This window comes from Homo sapiens, chromosome 1 (assembly GCF_000001405.40).
Source record: "Homo sapiens chromosome 1, GRCh38.p14 Primary Assembly".
NCBI classification, from domain to species: Eukaryota; Metazoa; Chordata; class Mammalia; order Primates; family Hominidae; genus Homo; species Homo sapiens.
In genome coordinates this window covers 223824506-223851110 of record NC_000001.11, presented here as the reverse complement: position 1 = coordinate 223851110, position 26605 = coordinate 223824506, and the positions used below count along the sequence as shown (strand labels likewise).

The 26605-nt window shown below is 41.6% G+C and overlaps 1 protein-coding gene across 4 annotated transcripts in view, besides 1 other annotated feature; it reads left to right on the top strand.

The window, feature by feature from the left end:
• Positions 5027-5336: a silencer, noted in NCBI's record as "silent region_1844". NCBI's record gives its function as "represses an Ori minimal core promoter by ATAC-STARR-seq in GM12878 lymphoblastoid cells {active_cell/tissue: GM12878}" and the evidence as "EXISTENCE:reporter gene assay evidence [ECO:0000049][PMID:35858748]".
• Positions 5164-26605, top strand: part of TP53BP2 (tumor protein p53 binding protein 2) — a 66055-nt gene continuing 44613 nt past the window's right edge. For 3 of the 4 annotated variants that reach the window (XM_011544268.3, NM_001031685.3, NM_005426.3), the window contains exon 1: positions 5164-5457. Coding sequence is in view for 1 of the 4 variants with exons in the window: in NM_001031685.3 (NP_001026855.2) it covers positions 5431-5457 (27 nt within the window). In the remaining 3 variants the exon portion in view is untranslated. Of the gene's footprint in view, positions 5458-5705; positions 5876-26605 lie in introns of those variants that run through there. The other variant, XM_047429498.1, reaches the window with a different exon arrangement.

Genomic DNA, 26605 nt, shown 5'->3' with positions numbered 1-26605 from the left:
TTCTGTCATGTTGTAAATACCACAACATGGTACTATGGAATATACATGAAATATTGATTAATTCTGTGTAAGAAACATCAAACATGGCCTTAAGAGTGACATTTAGCCAATGTAGTGGCTCATGCCTGTAAGCCGAACACTTTGGGAGGCTGAGGCAGGAGGATTGCTTTAGGCCAGGAGTTCTAGACCAGCCTGGGCAACACAGTGAGACACCATCTCTACAAAACATTTAAAAATTAGCCAGGCATGGTGATGCATGCTTGTAATCACAGCTACTTGGGAGGCTGAGGTGGGAGGATGGCTTGATCTCAGCAGTTTGAGGTTACAGTGAGCTATAATCATGCCACTGCACTCCAACCTCAGTAACAGTGTAAGACCTTGTTTCTTAAAAAAAAAAAAAGACATTTAGGCATTTAGGTAGGAACTTGAAAGGCGAATAAAAGTTTACCATATAGGGTAAGGTGGAGGGAGGGGAAGGTTTTTAAAGCAGAGGGAAAAGTATAAATGGATGCAAAGAGGCTTGATACACAAGCTTCTGCCCCATTTTTCTTTCAGATTACTGCTAACTTGAGGGGAATGTAGGAGATAACTGAATAAATCCGTAGGTTAAGGAAACTGTAAAAATGGAGTATCTCTGGTTTCAAGAGGGAGGATAATTGGTGGAATATTAAATGATTCTACATGACCTGGGCACTGGCTACATCTTCCACCTCTCTTACCACTCCCCTCCTTGTTCACTCTGCCCTGGGCACACTGATCTTTTTGCCATGTCTTTGAGATGCCAAGCACAAGGCTGCCTCAAGCTCTTTGTCCTTGCTGTTCCCACTGCCCAGAGTCTGATTCCCTCCCTCCCCTCATTCCTCAGAGGCTTTCTCTGGCCAGCCTATCTAAAACAGGTGCTATTCTCTTAGATTTACCTAGTTGCTATTTTTTTCGTAGCATTTATTATTACCTTATTCATGTGTTTGTTATCTAGCTCCTCCCAACTAGAATATAAGCTCCATGAAGGCAAGTCTCTTCTCTGTTACCTCTAAAGTCTAGAACAGGGCCTGGCAAAATACAGCCACACGAGTATTAGTAAAAGAGATAAACAAAAGGAGTGGGGAGAGGGTAGAGAAGAACCCAGATGAGTTGGAGGTGAAGGGAATAGGTATTGCAGGAGTGCAATCTCAATAGTCTCTGTTTCATTGGCTGAGTAAGATGGGAATTCATCTTCTGAGAGGAGAGAGGGACTCAAAGTTTGGGACATCTGTGGAAGATGAGAACGAGTAACACAGGGAGAAAGTTGGGAACTTAAACATTTGAATTCAAACCAAATAGATAATTAATTGTACTGTGCCAAGGGGTGGGGTGAGAGCCAAAAGAGAAGATAGCTCCTCCCCGCTCAGAATGTGGCATTTTGACTTATCTTTCTTGGAGTTGAGTAGAGAATTATAGGGTGGGGAGAACCAAACAGAGGCTCTTGAAAGAATAAGCAGGTGAGGGTGGGAGCGGAGAGAAATTGAAACTTGGTAGAAAACAACCCTTCTGAGAGCCATGTTTGAGTGGTACAGAATCTGAGAGAATGAAACCAAAGCACAGACAAGGGTTCTTTGGTTTCACGCTTCTATGATTAAAAAAAAAAAAGTCCTCAACATACCTGCTATTTGGCAGCTGGGAATTCTCAATTGGCTAGAAGTGAGTTTCAGGACATATTGCCAATTGCTGTCCCTTTTCTCCTCCCTTCCCTTGGGCAGGGCATTTGTGTAAACAGACAGTAACGAAATAGAACTGGACTGTCTTATTCCAATTCTTCTCTCCTTGCTTCCATTTCTATTGTAATTATTTTATTAATAAGCTAGGGCTGCCAGCACTCATACTAAGTATAATTTACTATTGTGTACAACCAGTTTTAGGGTGGTAATGAGACACGGTTTTTTGGTGAGAACTGGAAGGTTAGTGACCAATATCCAGAATTCTTTTCCTGGATGACTGTGGATCATAATATCTTCAGCTGTTTTGGGGACTTCTTTGTCTGCAAAAAAATAAAAAAAAACCCCAGTGGAATATGAAGTAGGTTTTTTGGTGTAAAATAGTCCCTTTATGAACTGCAGTTTACCAAAAAGAATTGTTGCTTCCCAGAACTACCATTCAACCCAGGAATCCCGTTATTGAGTGCATACCCAGAGGAATATAAATCATTCTACCATAAAGACACATGCATGTGAATGTTCATTGTAGCACTATTCACAATAGCAAAGACATTGAGTCAACCTAAATATCCATCAATAACAGACTGGATAAAGAAAATGTGCTACATATACACCATGGAATACTATGCAGCCATAAAAAATATCAAGATCATGTCTTTTGTGGGAACATGAATGGAAGTGGAGGCTATTATCCTTAGCAAGCTAACGTAGGAACAGAAAACCCAATACTGCATGTTCTCACTTAGAAGAGGGAGCTAAATGATGAGAACTCATGAATGCAAAGAAGGGAACAACAGACAGTAGGGCCTACTTGAGGGTGGAGGGTGAGCGGAAGGAGTGGAGCAGAAAAGATAACTATTGGGTACTGGGCTTCATACCTGGGTGATGAAATAATCTGTACAACAAACCCCTGTGACACGAGTTTGCCTATGTAACAAACCTGCATATGTAGCCCCAAACCTAAAAGTTAAAAGAAAAAAGAATTATTGCTTCCCACAAACGTGCTAAATTTCAGTATTAGGGTTTCTTTTATTATTAAGATTCTGAAAGTTAACATGTTCCCAATTGATCTCCTCTTTTCTGTAACTTGGTCCACTCATGGTCTTCTCCATTTTGGTTTGTGGCAACTTCCATCTTTTGGGACAAAAATTTGGGCTTCTTTCTCTCATATTCCACATCTAATCTGTCAGGAAATTCTGTGGGTTTGGACTTGAAAATATATCCAAAACCTGACCACTATTTGCCATAGACGCTGTTATCGCCTTTGAGCAAGCCACTTCCATCTTTTGCTTGGCTTATCACAAGAGTTTCTTACTGTTCTCTGTTGACTTTCAGTTTTCCACAGCAGCTCTTAAAATATGTCAGCTGACATCACTCTTCTGTTCAAAACCTTTCCATAACTCCCCATTTCACTCAGAGCAAAGGTAAAGTCCTTAGAATAGCCTACAAGGCCCTCCTTGTCTGGCCCTTCATATCACTCCATCTCATCTCCTACTACTCTCCCCTCATCGTCTGCTCCAGCTATCTTAGCCTCCTTGATGGTCCCAGAATTTGCCAGGCAGGCTCCCATATCAGGCCTTAGCGTTGGCTGTTCCCTCTGCCTGGAAATCTTCCTTCATATTTGTGGAGTTCACACCCTCATTTCCTTCAAGACTGTGCTCACACACCGCCTTTTCAGTGAGGCTTACCTTGACCACCATATTTAAAGTTGCACCTGTACACCTTATCCCCTTCTCTTACCTTATTCTATTTTTTTCACAATAACTACACTTGTCTTTTGAACTTTTTGTTCATTGATGTATCCCTAGGACTTAGAAGAATATCTACCAAGTGGCAGGTATTTAATAAATATTTACTGAATGAGGGATGAATTTATTTTGCTTAACTCAGTATAACCCTCTTAAGAAAACAAGACTATAAACCAGATTTTTTGAGAACGTTAAATTCTTTTTTTTTTTTTCAGATGGAGTTTCACTCTCGTTGCCCAGGCTGAAGTGCAGTGGGGTGATCTCTGCTCATTGCAACCTCCGCTTCCCAGGTTCAAGAGATTCTCCTGCCTCAGCCTCCCGAGTAGCTGGCATTACAGGCATGCGCCACCATGCCCGGCTAATTTTTATATTTTTAGTAGAGACAAGGGTTTCACCACGTGGCCAGGCTGGTCTCGAACTCCTGACCTCAGGTGATCTGCCCGCCTCGGCCTCCCAAAGTGCTGGGATTACAGGCGTGAGCCACTGCGCCCGGGCGAGAACGTTAAATTCTAGTTGAATTAACCGTAATTTAGTATTTCCAGATACAGTATCTGGGATGGTGCAATAGGGAGTTCGATGGAGATTCTGGTAAGGGATATGGTGGGCTAAGAAAGAATTGTCTGTTCTTGATACTAGATAAACCCAGGGGATTTACCCCACTTCAGGTTCTAGAATCATGTATAAAGGCAGAGAAAAGTGATTCTGAGTGAACTTGCACTGACAACTTACTAGAACAAAGCTTCCTGGAGTTAGGGTTCCCGCAGTATGTGTCTCTCTGGAAGGTGGAATAAAAGCCTGAACCCGCTCTGCTACTCTTTGGAAGGCAGCCCTGCCATTTCCCTAGGCCTTGGCCTCCCTCCCTGGAAAAGGATGGTATCCACCGGCTCCCCGTATCGGAGGCTGTTTGCAGGGTGTTCCCAGCACCCCCCAGGGAAGCTCCTCAGAATGCTGCCTGACACATTTTTACAAAATTTATTTTTATTGTGGTAAAACATACACAACATAAAAGTTATCCCTTTATCCAGTTTGCGGTGTACGTTTGTTAACCTTACAGCAAGTAACACATGAGTTTTAAATTAGAATTTGGACAACGGCAAATGAGATGAAAGGCGAACAATCCGAAAGCCGGATCACTGAGGAGCTCTGGGAACGCGCCGCGAGCTGAAGCCACACGGGGAACTCCATTTTGTCGGGACAGGGTCGGTCCTGGCCGCCTCCAGGGAGTCGGGTAGTTTCCGCGGCGTGGCCCGGGCCTCCCCTGAAGTCCGTCCGCCTCTCTCCGCCTGGCCCAGCGGCGCGGCCGCCGGAGGACTCTGTCCACGCGCCCAACGTCGGGCGCCCTGTTCTGAAGGCAAAGGGTCCCCTGCCTCGCACGACTCGGAGCCGCCGAGGAGGTGACGGCGGCAGCCCTGGGGCGGCTCGGTGCCATTCACTACCATCCTGTTTTCCTGAGGCGCGGCCTTCCAATTGCCCCGGCTCCGCTAGGAGGCGCGCGCTCCAGCCGCTCCGCCGCGCGGCCCCGACCGCACTTCAGTCCGGGGCGAAGAAAGAAAAGGCGGCCGGCTCCCGCCGCTCCCCGTCTACCCAGCCGGGCCCGCGCAGGCGCGCGCAGCTCCCGTTCCCGCGGCCGCCCCTCCCCCAGGCCGCCGGGCGCGCCGCGGGCGGGGTCGGCGCGGGGGGCGGAGCCGGCACGGGCTCGGCTGGGGCCCGACCCGGGATTAGTTGGTTTCGGAGCGGAGGAGGGAGCCCCGACCGTCACGAGCGTCGAAGAGACAAAGCCGCGTCAGGGGGCCCGGCCGGGGCGGGGGAGCCCGGGGCTTGTTGGTGCCCCAGCCCGCGCGGAGGGCCCTTCGGACCCGCGCGCCGCCGCTGCCGCCGCCGCCGCCTCGCAACAGGTCCGGGCGGCCTCGCTCTCCGCTCCCCTCCCCCGCATCCGCGACCCTCCGGGGCACCTCAGCTCGGCCGGGGCCGCAGTCTGGCCACCCGCTTCCATGCGGTTCGGGTCCAAGATGATGCCGGTAAGTGGGCGAGCGGCCAGGGCGTCGGGCCCGGAAGTGTGCGGGGTCGCGTGCCGGGGGCTGGTCCGCGCCCTCGGGCGCGTCGGGGAAGGAGCCTGGGGGCCGCAGCCCGCGCGGAGGGGCCGGGGCTTTCCGAGCTTCGAGCGGGTTTCAGGAAGGGGAGGCTCCATCCTCTGGGCTCTGCGCCCACAGCCGTCGTGGGGGCGCGGCGAGACCCTAACCTCGAGGCGGGTTCCTCCAGCTGCTCCGGAGTCAGGCGAGCCGCCCGCGAGCCCAGCAGCCACTCAAACTTTTCGTCTTTCACTGGGTCTTGACTTTTTTGCAGTTCTTGAAGGTCAAGAATACGGGAACCGGGGACCTTGTTCTTTGCTGTGTCTTTTTACTTTTTACTGGAGTGAAACATACGTTACTGGAACGGGTACCTTTGCTTTGTTTTTAATTGAATTTCGATCTTGATATCCACAGTAGCAGCTAAGTCACCCTTACCTCTTTGTGGAAAGGGGTTTTGGTAAATGCAATCTCGGAAGTTTTAGATTGCAGGAAAGCGTACGTGCCTGGCTCCCTTCGTTTCCCACAGCTTTTAGCAAGACCTCCGGAGAGGATTAGTGCCTTCTTTAGGAGCTCCGCAGGCTTTTGACACGGCCACCAGGCCACAGATGAACAGCAGGTTTGAGACATTTCAGAAATGTCTCTGTCATTCAGCGATCGCGGAATGGAGGTTTGCGGTGTGTTGCGGTGGCTTCTGCAGACTTCAGTAGCGAGTTTCTTCGTGGAAGTTGTATTTGCACCTCTCCCACTGAAGTGGGGACATCTTGCAGGCATCCTATGCTTGTGGCTCCATTTGTTCAGACAAAGAAACAAAAAGCTTTTACTTTTATGAAGTCTGTGGAATGGAGTGATGACAAAGTTTGCAGTCATACATACAGAGTATAATATGCTGTTCCCTGGCCCCCTGCTTGTGTCATGGAGGGCGTCCCAAACTCTCACTGGGTCGACTTAACAATTCACTAGAATTAGTAATTGGGTTTAGAGGGTTTGGGATATTTTGTCCTGCCAGGATTCAAGGAATTTGAAAGTATTAATAGCATTATGCATCTTATTTTAGTTTAATGCCTGGTTATGAAATCAGGTTTGTAGTGTGAATACCCAATATTGAAATAATGGACCATAGATAAGGGTGATGGATTTTGCTGTTAAGATTTTTATTTCCTGGATTTACATTTCTTTGTGTTGAAGTAACTTGTACGGATTGTCTGTGAATTTTTCCTAACAGTAGGAGCAAGAGAAACACGTATCAGTTGTTGCTATATGGTTTCTTCCTTGTTTTTTGTCAAGGTATCCTTTGGAGATACCCTACCAAGGTATCCGTTGTGTAGCCGAATTCATAAAACGTTATGTGGCTCTTGAGACTATATTCAATTTAGCAGTATGGTTCTTCTGATTGCCTTTCTGATGTCAGAATACAATCCTAACACAGACTCAGTGTGGTATGATGGCACTTACACCAGCTTTGAAGTCAGACTAACACTTCAGTATTGCTCAGCTACTACCTTTAGTGACGTAGCCACTTAAAAAAAACTTGTCCCTCAGTTTCATCATCTGTAAAATGGGGATAATAGTACTCAGCTCTTAGGGTGGTTTGAGGATTAGAGTTATGTTTATGAAGGAAGTGTGATTAGTACAGTGTCTAGCTTGCAATAGGCGGTAGATAAACGCCTCTGAATTTCCAATGTTGGTTAAAGTGGAGATTCTCAGATTTGTGATATATAAAAATATGAAATAATTTTTCATTTAGTAGACTCATGTTATATGTGTCTTTATACTGTAATATTTTGGATATTTGAAAATAAAACTTTTATTAAGTATATTTCTCATCTTTGGCTTTTCATATGCTTGGATTTTTATTCCAACATAAATGTAATTTTGTTACATTGCTTTGGAAAATTCTAACCAATTTATCAGGAAAAGCCATTTAGTGTAAAAAAATGGATAGTCTCAGAATGTAGACAATTGCCTTGATGTACTTTTATTGTGGTAAAATATACATAAAATAAAATATGCCATTTTAACTATATTTAAGTGTACAGTTCTGTGGCATTAGGTACAACCCTTGATTTGCTTTTAAAGGCATTCTGAAGATAATGGTTTACTATTTAGACTGCATTATATTAAAAATGTGCAAATAGGCCAGGAGCGGTGGCTCATGCCTGTAATCTCAGCACTTTGGGAGGTCGAGGCGGGCGGATCACGAGGTCAAGAGATTGAGACCCTCCTGGCCAACATGGTGAAACCTCGTCTCTACTAAAAATACAAAAATTAGCTGGGTGTGGTGGCGTGCGCCTGTAGTCCCAGCTACTCGGGAGGCTGAGGCAAAATTGCTTGAACCCTGGAGGTGGAGGTTGCAGTGAGCCGAGATGGCACCACTGTACTCCAGCCTGGTAACTAAGAGTGACTCCATAAAAAAAAAAAAAAGTGCAAATAAATTGTGTTCATGTGTTTTCTCACCAAATGGTACAGGATCAAGTGGTTTTCTTTTATGTGGGACATGAAGTGATAATTGGATCCAAAACCAAAAGTGGAAGATGTATTTTAGAAGGCTAACTAAAAATAAGTAGCAAGCTCTGCAAATCACAGTAGAGATAATGATAGGGTACTGCAGAAATGGGATTGATAATTACTCTCACTTTCAGATACCTGCCATTGTTAGTATCTCTAGTTCTATGATATTTCCACAACTTGCCGAGGAGAAACTGGTTTTACTTTCATACTTGACATCTTTTTCCTGATGAAAGAAGAGATTATTTGCACTTTGAGAGTTTGGCTTTTTAGTGATCCGCATGTTGTATTTGATTTTCATGTAAAGGGAGGCAGTTACCAAAAGCAAAAATTCTTAGTCGTTTGAAAATTACATTAGATATCTTTTATTCACTACTTTGATTTTGTGAAGTGTTATGCTCAAAACAAAAATGTGTTCTTAAGAAAGAGCTTGGCTAACTCTAAAAGCTACTCTCTGCTCTTTTCAGCTGATAGTTTCATAAAAATTTTTGTTTGTACCTGCTGTTGAAATAATAAATTTTAAAAAATTATTTACAAAACTACACAGTATTTGGTAGTGCCACCTGGAAGACCAGAAGGCTTGAATTTGCCTGTCACTTGGTCATTGGAGATGCTGTATATTTGGCATGAATGTCCAGCTGTAATGGAAATGCTCTGTATCTTTGCTGTCCAGCATGGCAGTCACCAGCCACATGTGGCTACTGCACTTCAAATGTGGCCAAGGGAACTGAAGAACTGAACCTGAGTTAATTTTAATTATATTTAAATAGCCACATGCCTGGTGGCTACTGTATGACAATGCAGTCAAACCGATGTCATCATATAGCCCTTATATAGATGGTTTTAAGAAAATAATAGCTGGGCCGGGCACGGTGGCTACGCCTGTAATCCCAGCACTTTGGGAGGCCGAGGTGGGTGGATCACGAGGTCAGGAGTTTGAGACCAGCCTGACCAACATGGTGAAACCCCATCTCTACCAAAAATACAAAAATTAGCTGGGCGTGGTGGCGTGTGCCTGTAATCCCAGCTACTCAGGAGGCTGAGGCAGGAGAATCTTGAACCCTAGAGGCGGAGGTTGCAGTGAGCCGAGATCGCGAATCTTGAACCCTTGAGGCGGAGGTTGCAGTGAGCCATTGCATTCTAGCCTGGGGGACAGAGCGAGACTGTCTCAAAAAAAAAAAAAAAGAAAGAGAAAGTAATGGCTTATTTTAAAAAGCTCAGTTGAAGTGATCATAGTTTAATTCCTAAGTTTATGGCATTTTATCTTTCAGTGCTGCAGAGGCATAATTATTTCTAGTTATTTCATGATGCTGCAGAATAAAATTTGAGCTTCTAATTTTGAGGGTCTAGGAAAAAAATGGGATATTACAGTATCTCCTTTAGCAGTTTGACCACCTGATCAGTAGGATTTGTATATTTCTGAGCATAACTGCAAAGTGTGCAGCTCTACAGACCAGTAGCTTAACTTTTGCTTAAATACTTGTATTATTATTTACAAAGGTCTGGTTTTATTTGCACAGATTTGCACAAAACACAACCAAAATTGTGTTTTGAAACTAAAAATCTTTCAAGTTGTGTATTTGAAACATTATATTTGTATGACTTCAAGTTATGTATTTGGAACATTTTATTTGTATGATTATATCATGGTCTGAAAGAATTCTTTTTGCTTGAGTAATAGTGTAGCAAATTAGCTTAGATCAGGCTTTATTCCAGAATAAAGTTTAGATTAGGTCCCTAAAGAGAGGTTCCTATCTTTATAGAATTACAGTTATCAAAGGCTGTTAAACAAATAATCTATTTTTAGAAATGTGCAAAATATTTCTTTTATTTATTTATTTATTTATTTCTTGAGACGGAGTCTCACCACTCTGTAGTCCAGGCTGGAGTGCAGTGGCGCGATCTCGGCTCACTGCAGCCTCCGCCTCCTGGGGTTAAAGCAGTTCTGTGCCTCAGCCTCCCGAGTAGCTGGGATTACAGGCCACGCTCTGCTAATTTTTGTATTTTTTAGTAGAGACAGGGTTTCCCTGTATTGGCCAGGCTGATCTTGAACTCCTGACCCCGTGATCCACTAGCCTCGGCCTCCCAAAGTGCTGGGATTACAGGCATGAGCCACCGCACCCAGGAGCATCTCACATTTCATGTGCGTTAGTTTTGTTGCCTTGTGACTTCAGCTCTTAAAAGCTGAAAGACGTTTGAAAATTTCTGTATTTTTACCTGTTTCAGAGAAACCAGATTTAGACTTTTTAAAAGAAATTTACACAAGCATACACCTGCTTATATTTAACAATTAAGGAGAATGTATTTATCTGGAAGACACATGGAGGGTCATTTATTCGCATACACTGCTTCTAGGAAGAGCTGTGTTCCCTCCGTCTTTATCCCCACCGCCTCAGCAGACAATAAAACAAAACTTTCTTTTCTGGAGCTTTTAAAGAATACTGTAGACCTTTGTCTCTTTTGGTGATCTACCATAGTGTATGGCACTCTTTAAAAAGTCTTTCTGAAGTTAACACTGAGTATTCTTGAAGCTCATGTTATCTAGCCTCTCCTTAGCTTAAATGGGATAACTGCATACCATACCTCTCACCAGCTTTCTCCACAAGGATCTCACAGAATAAGAAGAACAGGAATTAAGAGTTTAGGAATCCAGAGTGTTCTTTTCAGCTCATGCCACTTAAGCCACACATTATTTAAATACTTGTTTTTGATGGTGTGCTAGGTACTGAACAGAACATTCTGTTTAATCAGATGTAATTGAAAAAAGAAAACACAGATGATGTGACTATGTATGAAATGTATAGTTATATTGCAGTGGTAGGTGAGACATTAAAATTCTATGTCTTATTGGGGCAAGCCAAGAAGTTTGGTCATTCGGGGATCCTTTATGAGCATCAAGTTTTAAGTAGTCAGTGATTTCTTAAAACACTTTGCATACCGTCTTACTAAAATAAATGTGTCTTATTAAAGAAATGCAAATTTTAAACATCAGTAGATAATGGGCAGGAAAAGTAGTTTTACAGATTTAGAAACTTTTTTTCTACATAAAATATACTCGAAAACAAATTATTTATTTGGATGATAATCGAACCAGATTTTCAATGAATATGTTCATTGGACCAGTAAGTACTGAACTTTCACTTGTTGTTGTTTTTTTTTAGACAGAGTCTTGCTCTATCACCCAGGCTGGAGTGCAGTGGCGTGGCGCCATCTCAGCTCACTGCAACCTCTGCCTCCTGGGCTCAAGTGATTCTCTAGCAGCAGCCTCCCGAGTAGTTGGGATTACAGGAGTGCGCCACCACACTCAGCTAAATTTTTTTTTCTATTTTTAGTAGAGACAGAGTTTCACCATGTTGGCCAGGCTGGTCTCGAGCTCCTGACCTCAAGTGATCTGCCTCCCAAAGTGCTGGGATTACAGGCGTGAGCCACCGCAGTTGGCCGAACTTTCACTTCAGTTGTTTTTCTGGATACAGATTTATAACTTAATACTACTTTATTTAAATTTCAAACATATCAACCCAAAATTCCTTAAGGCACAAGCATAGAAAAGTGGTAGAAAACCATAATGAATAAACTATTATAGATTACCAGTTTAAACTACTTGTGGTAATAAAAAATGATTAAGGCAATTTACTGTTCTTCCACAGGGGAGTGAACAATTTATATGTAAAAGCAGGGGGAGTGGAAGCTTCACTCTAACTTCCCTCCCAGGGATGAAGAGGAGCCCCCTTTCTGTGCCTCACACTGTGCCTGGTGATTTAGGTTGGTCATCCCGTCTAATCCCCTTATTACACTCTGAAGTTGATCTTCCCACTCTCATTCAACAGATAAGGAATTTGAAGCTCAAAGGGCTTAAGTAATTTGTTTCTGGTCACTAGTAGAAATGAGATTCGAACTGTCTGCCTGCAAACACATACTCTGTTCAAGATGGCAAATGCTTGGGTTAGAATATTTTTATATGTTTGACAGGACAAACAATGGTAATGATGTTCTTTTGGCTAATGGTAACTTCAAAAATTGCTTTTCAAAGCATAACCTTACTGTAGTTTTAAAGTAGAAAAGGAAAAATGGAAAAAAAAAAAAAAGAAAAAAATGGAGACATCGTCCCTTATTTAAATCCATACTGATGAGAAGATTGGCAGATAGTTCTCTTATCAACTTTCAAATGATGTGGAGGTGGTTACCTCCCCCTGGGCAAAGGAAACATCTCAATAGCTATTTCTTCCCACCTCTATCTAATATTACCATAGAGATCTCAGATCTTCCACATCTGCAGGGAAAGAGAAGGGGTGTGATAATTAGCTTTTGTATGAGGGGTGTTGAGTAGTCTTTCCTGAGATGATATCTGTAAATACGGCTTGAAGTTGATGATGTATTAGGTTGGTGCAAAAGTAATTGCGGTTCTTACCATCACCTTTGATGGCAAAACCACAATTACTTTTGGATCACCCTAATAGGAAAGGAGCAGAGTAGGATAGGCATGTTGGGAGAAGTGGAGGACAGGGACGCATAGAATGTCTGCTGTGAGATGACCAGTGACATTCAGCCATTTCCAGTTGCTCGAATGGTGCAGCAGTGACTTTGAAGTGTCCAGATGGGAGTGGAGTGAGTGTCTCCACTTGCAGCTTCAGGGCTGCCCGTGTAGTAGGGAGCAGTAATTCAATGTAGTCAGATACCTTTGTTGGAAATAGATTAGGGGCTGATTTTGAATGAAATCACATTAAATCATTGCTTTTCATTCTCCCTCATTAACCATTTAATTGTTTTTGGATGGCCTTTTGGGGATAACATCTGCTCAACAAATATTTAGTTAACATCTTCTGTATTCCAGGCACTGTTGTAAATGCCATGGAGACAGGAAAGGAAGTTTTCAGGGAGCTTAGCTTTCTTTCATAGTGCTTAATGGGAGATTTGGGTGGGAGAGAGAGAAAATAAACAAAAAAGAAAAACATGAGAGTTAAATGGGATTTAAGAAGGGTAATGTGACTGCGATGGCTACTTTAGATTGGATGGTCAGGAAGTGACATTTCAGCTGAGACCTGAATGACAAGAAGGAGCTGGTCCTGTGAAGATTTGCAGGTGGAGCATTTCAAGTGGGCACGATTCCTAGGGACTGGTGCAGAGGCCGGGAGGAAGCACTGGAGGCTGGGGCAAGGGGAGAGGGGCGGCGGGGGCGGGGCAGGGCTTCGTGGGCAGAGGGCAGAGTGACAAGAGCCGAAGCAAAAGACCTGTCAGCATATAGGTTTTCGCGGGCCAGAGGGAAGGGTGGAGGTGGCATGGGAAGGGACGTGGGAGCCACAGAAGAGGTTTAGTTAGCAAAAGTGACAACCTGATTGATTAGGAAAGCTCACTCTGTTGCTGTGTGGACAGTGGACCTTAGAGGTGCCAGAGTGTAAGACTTGGGCAAGGTGGGAAGAGTAGGAAAGTCTACAGAAAGCTGCCAAAAATAAATTAAAGGGTTTTAATTTTATTTATTTTTTATTTTTTACCACACCTAAGGCCCAGCTGACAGAATTGGTTGTGAAGGCACTCAAGAGTTTGTCACTTGCTCTAATAAATTGTTTTAGTGACCCTCAGAAGCCCCAGGGGTGAGAGGAGAAACAGTAGCACTTACCCGGGGTTGGAAGTAAGACCAGACAGGAATGGTGGAAGATCACTCCTGTATCCACAAGCTCCTTCCTATGGGGCTAAAGAGAAACCATACTTTTTATATCACCACAGAGCTCTGACAGCTACACAGAGCAGTTTAAATTTAGGCTTGAGAAAAAGCCTTCTGTCACCATGTTTCTTTTCAACTGAGTAGGGTGTATCAGGTTTCTCAAGGAAGCCATAGTCTGTCTTAAAATGCTTTAGGACAGCTTTACTTTTGACCACATGACCAGAGTGCTCTGGAAGCTTCTGATGCTTCAACCTAAAAGTTCCTTGACCCCCCGCCCCCCCCCTTTTTTTTTTAATTTTAAAACAATAGTATCTTCATTTTCCTGACACAAAGTAGCGAGTGACCTAGGAAAATCAAGTCTGAGTTAACTTTAATTCTAGAACGGTCTCTTTGTGGCAGTGTTTTCTGCATCACAACAAAATCTAGATAATAACTGCTTAGTTTGTGATATGTAGGTAATTTTCAAAAATTTTGTTAATTTCCTGAAAAGTTTGGGGGGTATCTATTTTGGATAATGCATTTATTTTAAAGGTAGATAGGATCTTTCTCTGGTAGGTTTTGCTTGTTGCTTTTAGTAGCCACGGACCTGGGCTTTCATCCTGCTGCTTTTCCTCTCTTCTGTCTTCTCCTGGAGCTGTTGAGTCACCAGGGCACACAGATCCCTCTTCTCCATTTCCTGGGGCACCTGTTTGGCCTCACCCCTCTCCTGCCTGGACTGTTGTAATGCTCTCCTTATCTATTTTCTTACCTTTTCTGTTCTCTGCCCCATCAGGCCATTTAACACACTGCTTCCCTGGTGGTCTTTCTGAAACAGCAATGTGTCTCTTCCCTCTCCAGAATTCTTCAAGTCTGACCTCTGTTCCTTACAGCATAAAATATATAAACTCTTTAGTGAGATAGAAAGTTTCTTTATTGTGTAGCCCAGTGGATTTCAGCCTTTTTGTGTCATTGATACATTTCCATTTCAGAATTTTTAGCTGCATAATGGAAATGATTGAAAAACTCAAAACACCAAGTCAGTTATTAAAACATAGCACCAGCTATGGCACAGTAGTGGGAATGCCTTGTGCTGTGCAGAAGAGCATCCGGTCACCTCGTGGTTCATTCGGCCTTCCTTCGGAATTGTGTTTCCTCTTGCTCACAGCAAGTTGTACTCTGTTGCATATTGCTCTCCACTCTTGCATATTGCCCTCCATGACGTGCTCCGCTCCATCGGACTTTGCCATAACAGCATGTGTATAAAACAAATTTTGTGCATTGAAAGTTTTTGCAGCACATTCGTGGCTTGTGGGTTGGGAATTGACCCATCTCTTCTTTGTCCTGCCTTGCGTCCCACCTCTGTGCTTCAACAGTTCCAGGACTATAGTTGTGAGGGCATGCCACAGTTTCCTGTGTCTTTATACACAGTGTTTCTCTCCCTAGATGGTCCTCTTCCTGCTTGTCTTATTCATCCTACAGTTTTAGCTTAATAGTACTTCTTTTATGTTAAGCCTTCTTCCACTGCTTGGAGGGGATTTTTTTTTCTGTTCTCACTGGACTTCAAATGCTTTAAATGTACTTTCACCAGGAAGTTCTCATTTCTCAACATTGCACCCTTTTCGTGGTTTGCAGTGCTTCTTCATTGTTCCATAAGCTCTGTGAGGACATGGAGCATGCCTTTTCATCTTTGTGTTTCTAGCACTTAGCACAGTGTTTGGCACACTGTAGGGATTTAATAAATATTGTTTGAGTTAATGGATGAATGAATATTCTTATTTTGGATTTTCTTTGGTGAGTGTAGTTCTTGCCTCTACTTCCATAGCAAAGTGGGAGGTAGGAAGGAAATAACTAGAAGCAATGGATCGGTTGTAGTTAGATCATCACGGATAGATCTTAAAAATGTAGTGCTTAGTGAGTAAAAGTAAAAAACAGAATGAAATCTGTAACAGTACCTTTACATAAAATAAGACGAATGCCTGGCAAACAAGACTCAGTTTAGAAGGAAGCACACCAACACTAAACTTATCAATAGTTGGAGCCGGGGAGGAATTAACTAAATGTATTTGTTCTTTTGCTTTATACATTGATTGTTTATGACAGATATTGAAGCAGAGTAACCTAAGATGAGTTGCTTTAGAGGATACGTTCAGAATTTGAAACTTATCTAAATTCAGCTTCAGGCATAGTTGAAAGAAGAGAAAAGGTTTCTTAATTTTACTTAAAGCAGAATTCTTTGAGACATTGTCTGGCTTTGAAAACATTCACTGTGAAGTAATACCATTTATAGATAAACATTTCTTGATGCTTCAGGATGTGAACATCCTCTTTGTCATGTTCTTGTTGCCTGTTAACTTTCTCCTCTTCGTGGAACTTTGAATCCCTGCGTCACAGTTTCAGTTCAGTCCAACAAACATGTATTGCATATTTGCTTTGTGTGAGATCTGACAGAGTTTTTTGGGGAGTGAGTTATAATGTAGGAGGAGGAAAACCAGGGAGGAGGCATTTAAGAACCAAAACATGTGTACTAAAGAATGTATAGACCAGTAGGACAGATAAGACAGGGATACAGACAACTACAGTGTGAATGGTTGTCAGAGAAGCAAAGAGAACATTTACTTCTGGCTGGAGGTGAGTGTGTGGGTAGGGATGGATGGATTGGAGGAAGTTTTATGGTCTTTGAGTTATTCTGGAAGGATGGGGATGAATTGACACTACAGGACAGAGTAGGAATCAGGTGAGCTACTCTGGGGAGAGAAGTGAGGAAAAGTGGCTATTTTAGATTCCTCATTTGGTGACTCGAGGCTATAACTGTGGAGTAGATAATTTAAAATAAATTTTAGGTCTTAATATTTCTTGTAATTGAAATGGAATTCCCTGAAATTCAAAATATGCAAATATAAATACCAGTGTATATGTGTCATAATGTATTGCTATTGTTGTTGGGTTAACTACTGGTATTATAATTAATATATACTACATAGATTAATACACACTGTTGTTATCTGCTAGTGAAATTAATACTCTACATTATTTGCAGCAAATTACTCAGAAACCTAGTTTCATGTTACTTCCCTGCTCAAAACCCTCTAATGCAGTGGTTCTTAAACTTAAGTGTGAGTACTGGGCCTCTCCTCTGGGGTTTCTGAATCAGGAGATGTGGAGCAGGGCCTGGAACTTTATATTTCTGACAAGTTCCCAGGTGATGCTTATGCTGTTTGTCTGAGAATTGCATGTTGTAAATCACTACTCTAGTGACTTTTCCCTTGCAATAAAGTCCGTACTCCTTATTCTTGACCTACAAGGCCCTGCCTGAGCTACCCCCTGTTCTCCCTGCCCTCATTGGCATAAGTCTGTATTCCTGATGTGGCGTTTTTTTCTGGTCATGGAATAGTCCAAGTTCATTACCACCTCTGGGCCTTTGATGAAATGTCTTCCTTCAGATGTTTCAAGTGGCTGTGGCTTCTTCAGTCTCAGCTCAAAAGTCCCCTTCACCCTGAGGTGTCTTTCCTAATCATGATCAGCCATCCTCCCCTCATCACTTCCATAATTCTTTATCATATCGCTTTATATACCATGCTCATTTGTGTGCTACCAGCCTCTCTTCTCTGCCCTAAAGAAGGCAAGCTTTTTCATCACTGTGTTCCTTTTGCTTTAACTGTCCTTTCTTAATAGGTATTTAGTAAGTACTAACGGGTGAATGAACGAAACTTCTTGTTGAAGTCAGCAAGAAGTTAGGATTGAGGGGAAGGCATAGAACCAGGAGCTTCTTTGGCATGGCTGGCTTTGATAGGATATGACTCCTATAGGTTTCTATGTAGAGGTCCCTGTTACCTATTCATGTATATGAAGTGGTTCTTTTACCAGACATCTATGACCAGCAGGCTACTTTATGATTTTTTCCTTAATTAAAGTAACTACTTCATATTTGCTCTATCATTTTTTTCCAGAATGTTGACTATTTCAGAATATGATTGTGTGCTCCAGATGATATTGAATGGATGGTCAGGATAGTCCATGCCTGATTAACATTTTTAACAGAATATTGTTCAAATTGATATTGAGACTTCACGTTATTGATTTCTGAATTCTACTAACTTGCTGTAAGTGAGCAAAGGAATAGTTTATGAAGTAAAAAAAATCCTTTGAATATGACTTTATGATTTTGCTTTAAATAAACTCAGATGTAACTGATAGGAACTGATGGGTTAATGTTAAAAATATGCCATCATATAAAGTGGTACACTTAGTGTAGAAGTAGGTTTAATATCATTGAGCCTTAATAGAACATCGGTATACATAACTTATGGTAATTGGTGAATATTTTTAAAAGCAGTTTAATGGCTCCAAGAGTAAACTCTAGAGAAACAGCTAAGAAATCATGATAGGCCTTTGTAAGCAGTGATTCTCTGATAACTTTAATAAGGTTGGGACCCATCGTCAGGGAGGTAGAGAGTGTCTCTTTGAGGGAAAGGACTCAAATATGTAGTGTCCCTGTGGCTCCTGAGGAAGGTTCCACAGAGACCCCTGTGGGTTGCCTACTCAGATATTGGGGAGACGAGGAAGGACAGCTCAAGCTCAAGCTGGGGTAGTGGAGCAGCACACTTCTTGCAGAAGACTGGCAGCCTAGCTCACAGCTAGGGTGCAGCATGTCTGAATTAGGGAGCCAAGCTCATGAGTGCCCTTGGTGTGCAGACTCAGCTGGCAGAGTGAGCATTGGAGCAGAGCTCCAGGTCTGTGCAGAGACAGGCAGAGTACTCTTGAGGACTGGAAGGGTCGGCATCTCCTTCCTAAACCCCGCCCAGTGTTAGAAGTCATAGTTGGGCTAAATGGCTGTGTATGAGTTTGAAAGAAACTTTGGTTATATCTTAATTTAATCCCCACTCTGTATCACAGTGTTGGGAGAGGTGTTTTTGCTTGACTGGGTTATAGGAAGCCTAGTGGCATTCTCCTCTTACAAGAAATATTTTCGGGCCTGCCTCCATAAGGGGTACAACAAAATATAGAAACTGAAGTAATAGTTTTACATTTATCTTTCTGCAGAGGAATTGTGAAACACAGAAACCATTCAGATTTTCCCCTAATCTCTCTACAAGCATAATCGCCTGGCTATTCCTGTGGTATTTCTTGTGAGTTGCAAAATTTGGGGAGGATTTGTGTCACTCTTTTTATAGATTGTTCATTTCATAATTTTCTGTTTCTTCCTCTTAGGTAAACTTGAAGGATTTGAGTTTTTGTAAATGAAAACTCTGAAGGTGCTGTTGTAGAGCGTAATTTCCCTTTGGTGACAGGGAACATCTTATACTCTTGGTTCCTTTCTTCTTTCTGTAGAACTTCACATGATTTTCTGAATCAAATGAATAAATGTTAGCCTCTGACTCATCTTGTAAATGCCCTAATCAGTTTTTTTTTTGTATTTCCTCTTAGAAAAGTCTTTCAGATTTTGATCTGAAATAATTCCTCTTTAAAATGAGTCATTCTTATGTTGATAGCATAACATCATAGTTACAGTACATACATGCTCTATAAACACAGGACTCTTAAAATAAATCTATGACCCATTGTTTTTAAATGAAAATTATCTGTGACTTTGAATTTTTGGAAGGGCACATCTTCATCTAGATATGACTGACATGAATTACTATGCAGTGTGCCTGTAGGTGGCCTGGCACAACTTAACACAGTGTTTTTTTTTTTTTTTTATCTTTCCTTCGACTTTCCTTCTCTTGAGATAGATGACTATAGGAGGTAGAAACAAGTTGTAATCACATTTACCATTTTTAATGAAATATTTTCATGTTCTTTTATCCCAGTTTGTATTAACTATACTTTTAAATTATACATTATTATAAAAATATTTTACTGTTGAGATTTTAAAAATTTAAAAGTGATAGCTATACTTGCCTCTGGTGTCGCTGATTTTCTGTGTATTTCATACAGGTCAGTATATATATATATATATATATATATATATATATATATTTTTTTTTTTTTTTAGATGGTACATATGTGTGTGCATGTGTACACACAGACACACATATTTTTACTTTTTTTTTTTTTTTTGGGAGACAGCGTCTTGCTCTGTCGCCCAAGCTGGAGTGTAGTGGCATGATCATAGCTCACTATAACCTTGAATTCCTGGGGTCAAGTGATCCTCCCACCTCGGCCTCTTCAGTAGCTAGGACGGACTACAGGTACATGCTACCACACCGAGCTATTTTTTTTTTTTTTTTTAATATAAATGGGGAAATGGGGTCTTACTGTGTTGCCCAGGCTGGCCTCTAGCTCCTGGCCTGAAGTGATCCTCCCGCCTCAGCCTCCCAAAATACTGAGATTACAGGCAGGAGCCACCCTGCCTGCTTTTTGAGAAAGAGTCTCACTCTCTCTCCCAGGCTGGAGTGCAGTGGCGCGATCTCGGCTCACTGCAAGCTCCGCCTCCCAGGTTCATGCCATTCTCCTGCCCCAGCCTCCTGAGTAGCTGGGACTACAGGCGCCCGCCACCATGCCCGGCTAATTTTTTTGTATTTTTAGTAGAGACGGGTTTCACCGTGTTAGCCAAGATGGTCTTGATCTCCTGACCTCGTGATCCTCCTGCCTCGGCCTCCCAAAGTTCTGGGATTACAGGCGTGAGCCACTGTGCCCGGCCGATGGTACATATATTTTTAAAGTTAAAAACACTTAGTATTGTTCTGTTTTATAACTTTTTCTTAACATTTTCCTAACACTCTATTTATACTTACAGGAGTTGGTGGCTGGACATAGTCCTTCTGGCAAATGATTTTAATTTACTTAACTTTTTCCCTGTTTAAAGACTTTTCCATGTTTTTGTATATTTAGTTTTCCATCTTACTATATATAGACCTCACACTATAGTGAAAATCTTCAGGCATTTAGAGTTTTTCTTCATTTCAGTTTTTTTTTTTTTAGGATAAATTCCCAGGAGTAAGGTCATGAGATATACATAATTCTGTGGCTTTTGATACATGATTTATTTTACTTTCTAAGTAGGATTTTTAATAATTTATAGTACTACCATCGTATCTTTGAGTAAATAACTTTTGTACAACCTCATCTATGTTGGATCTTGTCTTTTAATTGAAGACAATTTACTACAGGTTGAGCATCCTTAATCCAAAAATCTGAAATCTGAAATGCTCCAGAATTGAAAACTTTCTGAGTGCCTACATGATGCTCAAAGGAAATGCACATTGGTGCATTTTGGATTTTGGATATTTGGATTGGGGTGCTCAACTGCTTATCCATATATTCTAAAATCCGAAAAAATTCTGAAATACGAGACACTTCTGGTCCCAAGCGTTTCAGATAGGGGATACTCAACCTGTAGCTGTTAAGTGGTACCTCATTGTTTTAATTAATATTTATTTCCCTGCATGTCTTCATATTTGTATTGTCTTGTGGGATCTGTCATTTATATCTTCTGCTCTTAAGTATGCTTTAGAGTTTATTGTTTATTGATGAATGTCTTCTCTTTGTGTTCCTGCTATAAAAAATGATGTTCCTGATTTCTAAGTTCAAAGGAAGTTAACATTTTAATGTGTATGTGGTCACCAAGAAGGGCTGATCTAATATGCACTTTTTCTACCTGGGGAAGAAAAACTGTACTCTGTTACCAAGTAAGCAAGATGTCACGAGCCTTTTCAGATGTCCCAGCAATTTGCTGTCCTTGTAGTATGGGTAAATCTGTAACAGCTGTTTTTTTTTTTTTTTGACCTGATTATTGCTGCACTCTTTATGATGAAAACAATTTACCTCAAAAGTTGGCAGGAACACATTTATAATTTGATTCAATGAGAATAGTAGGATTTCTCACAACAGCTTCCCAGAGGCTTTAACTCTAGGGAACCCCATTTTGCTTGGTTCCTTATGGGAAAGGAGCTAATGAAGTCATCTTACATTCTTGAGAATATGGTATTTAAAGAACATATAGTGTCAGGAGAAGGCATTTTGGAAGTAAAGTTATGACAGATAATTTAAAAACATTATTTCCTTATGCTTACTATTAATTTGTGCCTGTTTGTTGAAACCTCGTCTACCTCAGTTCATAATCATCTTTTTCATTTCTGAATTTCCATTTTACCCACATTCTCATTCATGTAATAGAGTACTAAACATATAAAAATATATATATAGCTTTTGAGACAGGGTCTCACTCTGATACCCAGACTAGCATGCAGTGATCTCCTGGACTCAGGTGACCCTCCCACCTCAGCTTCCTGGGTAGCTTGGACTATAGGTATACGCTACCATGCTTGGCTAATTTTTTGTGTTTTTTTGTAGAGACAGGGTTTTGCCATGTTGCCCCGGATGGTCTGCTCTCAAATTCCTGGGCTCAAGTGATTCCCCTGCCTCTGCCTGCCAAAGTGCTGGGATTATAGGTGTGAGCCACCATGCCCGGCCTGAGATTTTTGTATCTCTCACATACTAAGCATACGGTGGGCTCTTTTTTTTTTAAAGTGATATATTCACATACCATAAAATTCACCCATATAAAATGTACAATTCAGTGGTTTTTAGTATATTCACAAGGTTGTGCTGCTATCACCACTAATTACAGAACATTTTCATCACCCGAGAAAGAAACCCCATACCTTTATCAGTCACTCCCTATTCCCCCTTCCTCAGTTCTTGGCAGTTATCAACTTTTTGTCTGTATGCATTTGCATATTCTAGACATTTCATATAAATGGAATTATATGCTATGTGGTCTTTCATGTCTGGCTTCTATCACTTAGCGTAATATTTTCAAGGTTTATCTGTGCGGTAGCGTGTATCAGTACCTCATTCCTTTTGATGGCTGAATAATATTCCATTCTAATATAGTGGACTTTTAAGATGTGCTTCTTAATTGCTTGTTTTTAATCATTCCTGACTAAATTTGAGGCAAGATAGTGACCCAAGAAAAACAGTCTCAACAGATATTTGTCTTCCATATCTCACGGTAAGGATCCAGGGAAGGCACAATGTATATGAATAAGAATGGTATGTGGTTATTTTCATCATTGATTGCTTAAAAAATCAATTTTATTGTGCACGTGGTACATTCTAGAAAATTTAAACGTAGATAAGTTCCTAAAAATTCACTTAGTCATCCCACCACCAGGGCATAACTACTGTTAATTTGGTGAATATAGTTTCAGGCTTTTTTCTGTGCCTGTAGATGTGTATGCATAATAGGATACAGTGAGCACTGTTTTATAACAAAACATGTGTAACTGAAATATTTTTAATAAAAATGTTTCATTTTTTATTCATTGCCTTCAAAAATATTTTGGTATCAGATGCAGGAAACTTCTTAGATTTAACAGTTTTATTTTTTATCTTTAAAAATGGTGGATTCTAGGCCAGAATTGTTTTCTGAAGGACTTAGTTGATAGAGTAGCCTAAAATTTCTTTTCTAAGTAAAATTTTCAACATGCTGATAAAAACTGCTTCACCAAAATGAAACAGAAGTGAATTCATTTTTTTATTAGACAGAAAATTCAATTACTTTTTGAATAATTCTTTTTGTAATACAGTAAATTTGTAAAACAAAGATAAAAGGATGGTAGCAATAAAAAGAACATGTGTGCCTGCCTGCATTTTCTCATGTTAACATGATAGGTTAGTGAAACCAGCCTCTCTTTTGATTATTTTTCTTATTTTTTTTTTCCTCTTCCAAGTAAAGGAAGGAAAAGGGAATTGATACATATTGGAAAAAAATAACCTTTATAACTTGAGGATATACTTATATCTATAGTTAGTTTCCTGTCAACACCATTTTCCCTCTCAACTAGGTCATTCCCATCAATTAAAATGGTCTGTAAAAACTCTCACCTTGAGATAAAAACAAAACACTCCTTTTACCCTGTGTCTCCCTTCCCTAGATGGCTCCATTTGCTCTGCCTTGGGTTAGGGCAGAACACACTGGAAGAACTAGTTGTCTGTACTGTGCCTCTGCTTCCTTCCCTCAGGTTCTCTAGCCTGTTCCAGCCAGGCCCTTATTCCCATGACTCAGTGCTGGTCAAGGCAGTCAGCAGCCTCCATCTTGCCAAATCTGATTGTACACTTTTGCATCTTCCTCCCTCACACGCTTTCTTTGCTTGGTTCCTGGTGTCCCGCACTCTTCTGGACTTCTTCCTTTTTTTGGTGGCTCTTTCTCAGGCTTCTCTGCTGAATCCTTGTCCTCCGTGGGACCTCTGGAGGTTGCTTGGTTAGCTTAGGACACAGTCCTCAGCATTCTTTCCTGTCTCTAGCTGGCCCTAGCTGCTCTCATCCAGGCTTAGGCTTTAAATGCCTCTGCATGCTCATCTCTTGCTTTCTCATCTCAGTCAAACTTGCATATTAGACGGCCTCTTCATGTCTCCGTTTGAATGTTCCATAGGTGTCTCATATTTAACATAGAGGCCTCATTCTGTGGGCCCTTCCCAACCTGTTCCTCCTTCCTCACTTTGTACCTAGTGCTTAGGTAGCAGATCCAGAGTCACTCTTAATTTCTCTCTACTTTCAAATCCCACATTCTGTCCACCAAGCGAGTCTTACTGGCTCTATCTTCAAATAATAATCCAAATCCAGCCATTTTCACCACCTTTGCTATTAATTTGCAGTCTGTGCTACCATCGTATCTCATTCCGTGTGTAGCATTTACCTCTTAATTGGACTTTCATGCCAGTCCTCCTGTAGTTTGTTCATATAGTGATTTTTTTTAAGGGCATAAATAGCTACCCCGTTCAAAATCCTCCAGTAACCTCTTACTTTTGAAAATTGAGATATAATTCACATACCATAAAACTAATCATTTTGAAATACGTAATTCAGTGGTATTTAATGTATTCACAATGTTGTGTAACTATCACCACTAATTCCAGAATATTTTCATCACCCCAAAAAGTAGCCCTGTACCTATTAGCAGTCACTTCCCATTTCCCCTTCCCGCAGCTCCTGACACCCAGTGATCTACTTTCTGACTTTAATGATTTGCCTCCAGTGGGCTTTTAGATTAAAATCCACAGTCCTTGCCCTAGCCTTAGACGATGGTTCTCAGGACGTGGTTTCTAGACCGGCAGTATCAACATCACCTGAGGGCTTGTTAGAAATGCAGAATTTTCAGTCTCCAACCCAGATCTATTGATTTTGGAATTCTTGGGGTGGAGCCCTGCAATCTGTGTTTAATAACGACCCTCTGTCCACACCAAAGTTTGGGAACCTCCAGCCTATAAAGACATGCATGATCTGGCTTTTGCTTGCCTCCTTGAATTAACCCTTTCCTCTTGCTTCGTCTGCAGTGACCTTCCTCTTGTGCAAATGTGACAAACTTGTTTCCTTCTCAAGGGCTTTAAATGTGTTGCCTCTGGTTGGCACATTCTTCTCCCAGACCTTAGCTGGGCTGTGTCCTCACTTCCTTTAGATGGTTGCTCGGTTGCTCAAGAGTCCTCTGACTGCATAGTACGGAGAGGAGGGCTCCTGTGCTGAGTGTCTTTTTTTTGCCTCTCTGCATTCACTTTTCACCTTCCTCCACCCTGCTTTGTGCCTTAGGAGGTTGACTTCTCTAAACTGCATCAACCGCTTCCCTTGCCATCTGGTAGGTAGTTGGGTTTGTCCAGTGGGGAGTAGTGGGTGGACATGAGAGGGAAGGAGCCAGGTTGTGGTGTTTATTTTTTTGACTTCCTTCCTGTGGGCTGGCTGTGTCCTTCTAACAGCTTTCTTTCTCTCTCTTTGAATTTTGTACTGTCTGTAGTATTACCTGTTTAGTAAAGATTATTTTTACATTAGAACAGAGACATATAGCAGATGATCTGTAAATACTGAATGAATGAAAATAATGTTGAAACAGAGGTAGAATGATGGTAGCAGGATGTAAGCTGAAGATATGAGTGGACAACACACTCTCTCATTTGAGAGTATATAGCTGTGCTACACGCTACATGCCATACCGTTTAGCAGTACCTGAAACAAAACTGACCGTGAAAATAAATCAGGTGAGATGATGGATTGTGGGCAAAATGTTGCTCTAAAAGACAGAACTAGAGGCAGTGACACACTTGGCACCGTGTGGTCCAGATTCAGGAGAGTCTTTACCTGTATGCTCTCAAGGAAGGGGCTCAATCTTGGTTTTGCCACTTAATAGCTGTGTGACCTGGGTGAGTTACTTAAATCCCTCTGTGCTTCAGTGTTTTCATCTGTAAAATGCAATCACATTTGCAGGATTTAATACTTAGTGTGTACTTGTTACACACCAAGCACAGTTCTAGGCGCTGAGTCTACAACACTGAACAAAGACAAAACCTTTGACTGTATGGAGCTTACTTTCTAGTAGGAAAGGCAGATAATAAAAATGAGTTAAATAAATATAACATATGACATGTTAGTGACTGTGCTAAGGAGGGAAATAAAGCAGAAGAATGGGCTAGGGTGTGTGTGTGTGTGTGTGTGTGTGTGTTTGGTGTTGGAATTCTAGGTAGGGTTCCTAGGTAAGGCTTCACTGAGAGGGTGACATCTGAGTAAAGGCGTGACGGAGATGAGGAAGGGAGAGTTACACTGGCATACAAAGAAGCGCATTCCAAATAGAGGAACAGCAAGTACAGAGGCTCCCACCTGGGAACATGCCTGGTGTGTTTGATGAACAGCAAAGAGGACGCTGATAGAGCACAGAGTGAGGGGGGATTAGAAGGAAATGGGGGCCAGATCATGACTACAGCAGACCTTGTAGGCTGCTGTAAAAATGTTGACTTTTACTCTGGTACCTAGTAAACATTTACTAAATAGTAGCTCTTAGGGAACTTTTTTTTTTAAAAATTAATTTTAAGTTCTGGGATACAGGTGCAGGATGTGCAGGTTTGTTACGTAGGTAAACGTGTAGCTATTGGGGAACTTAAAGACTCATTTTGAAGATGAGGATGCTGAGTTTCAGAGAGGTGACATTACTTGCCTAAGGTAGTCTAACTAATTATGAAGAAATCT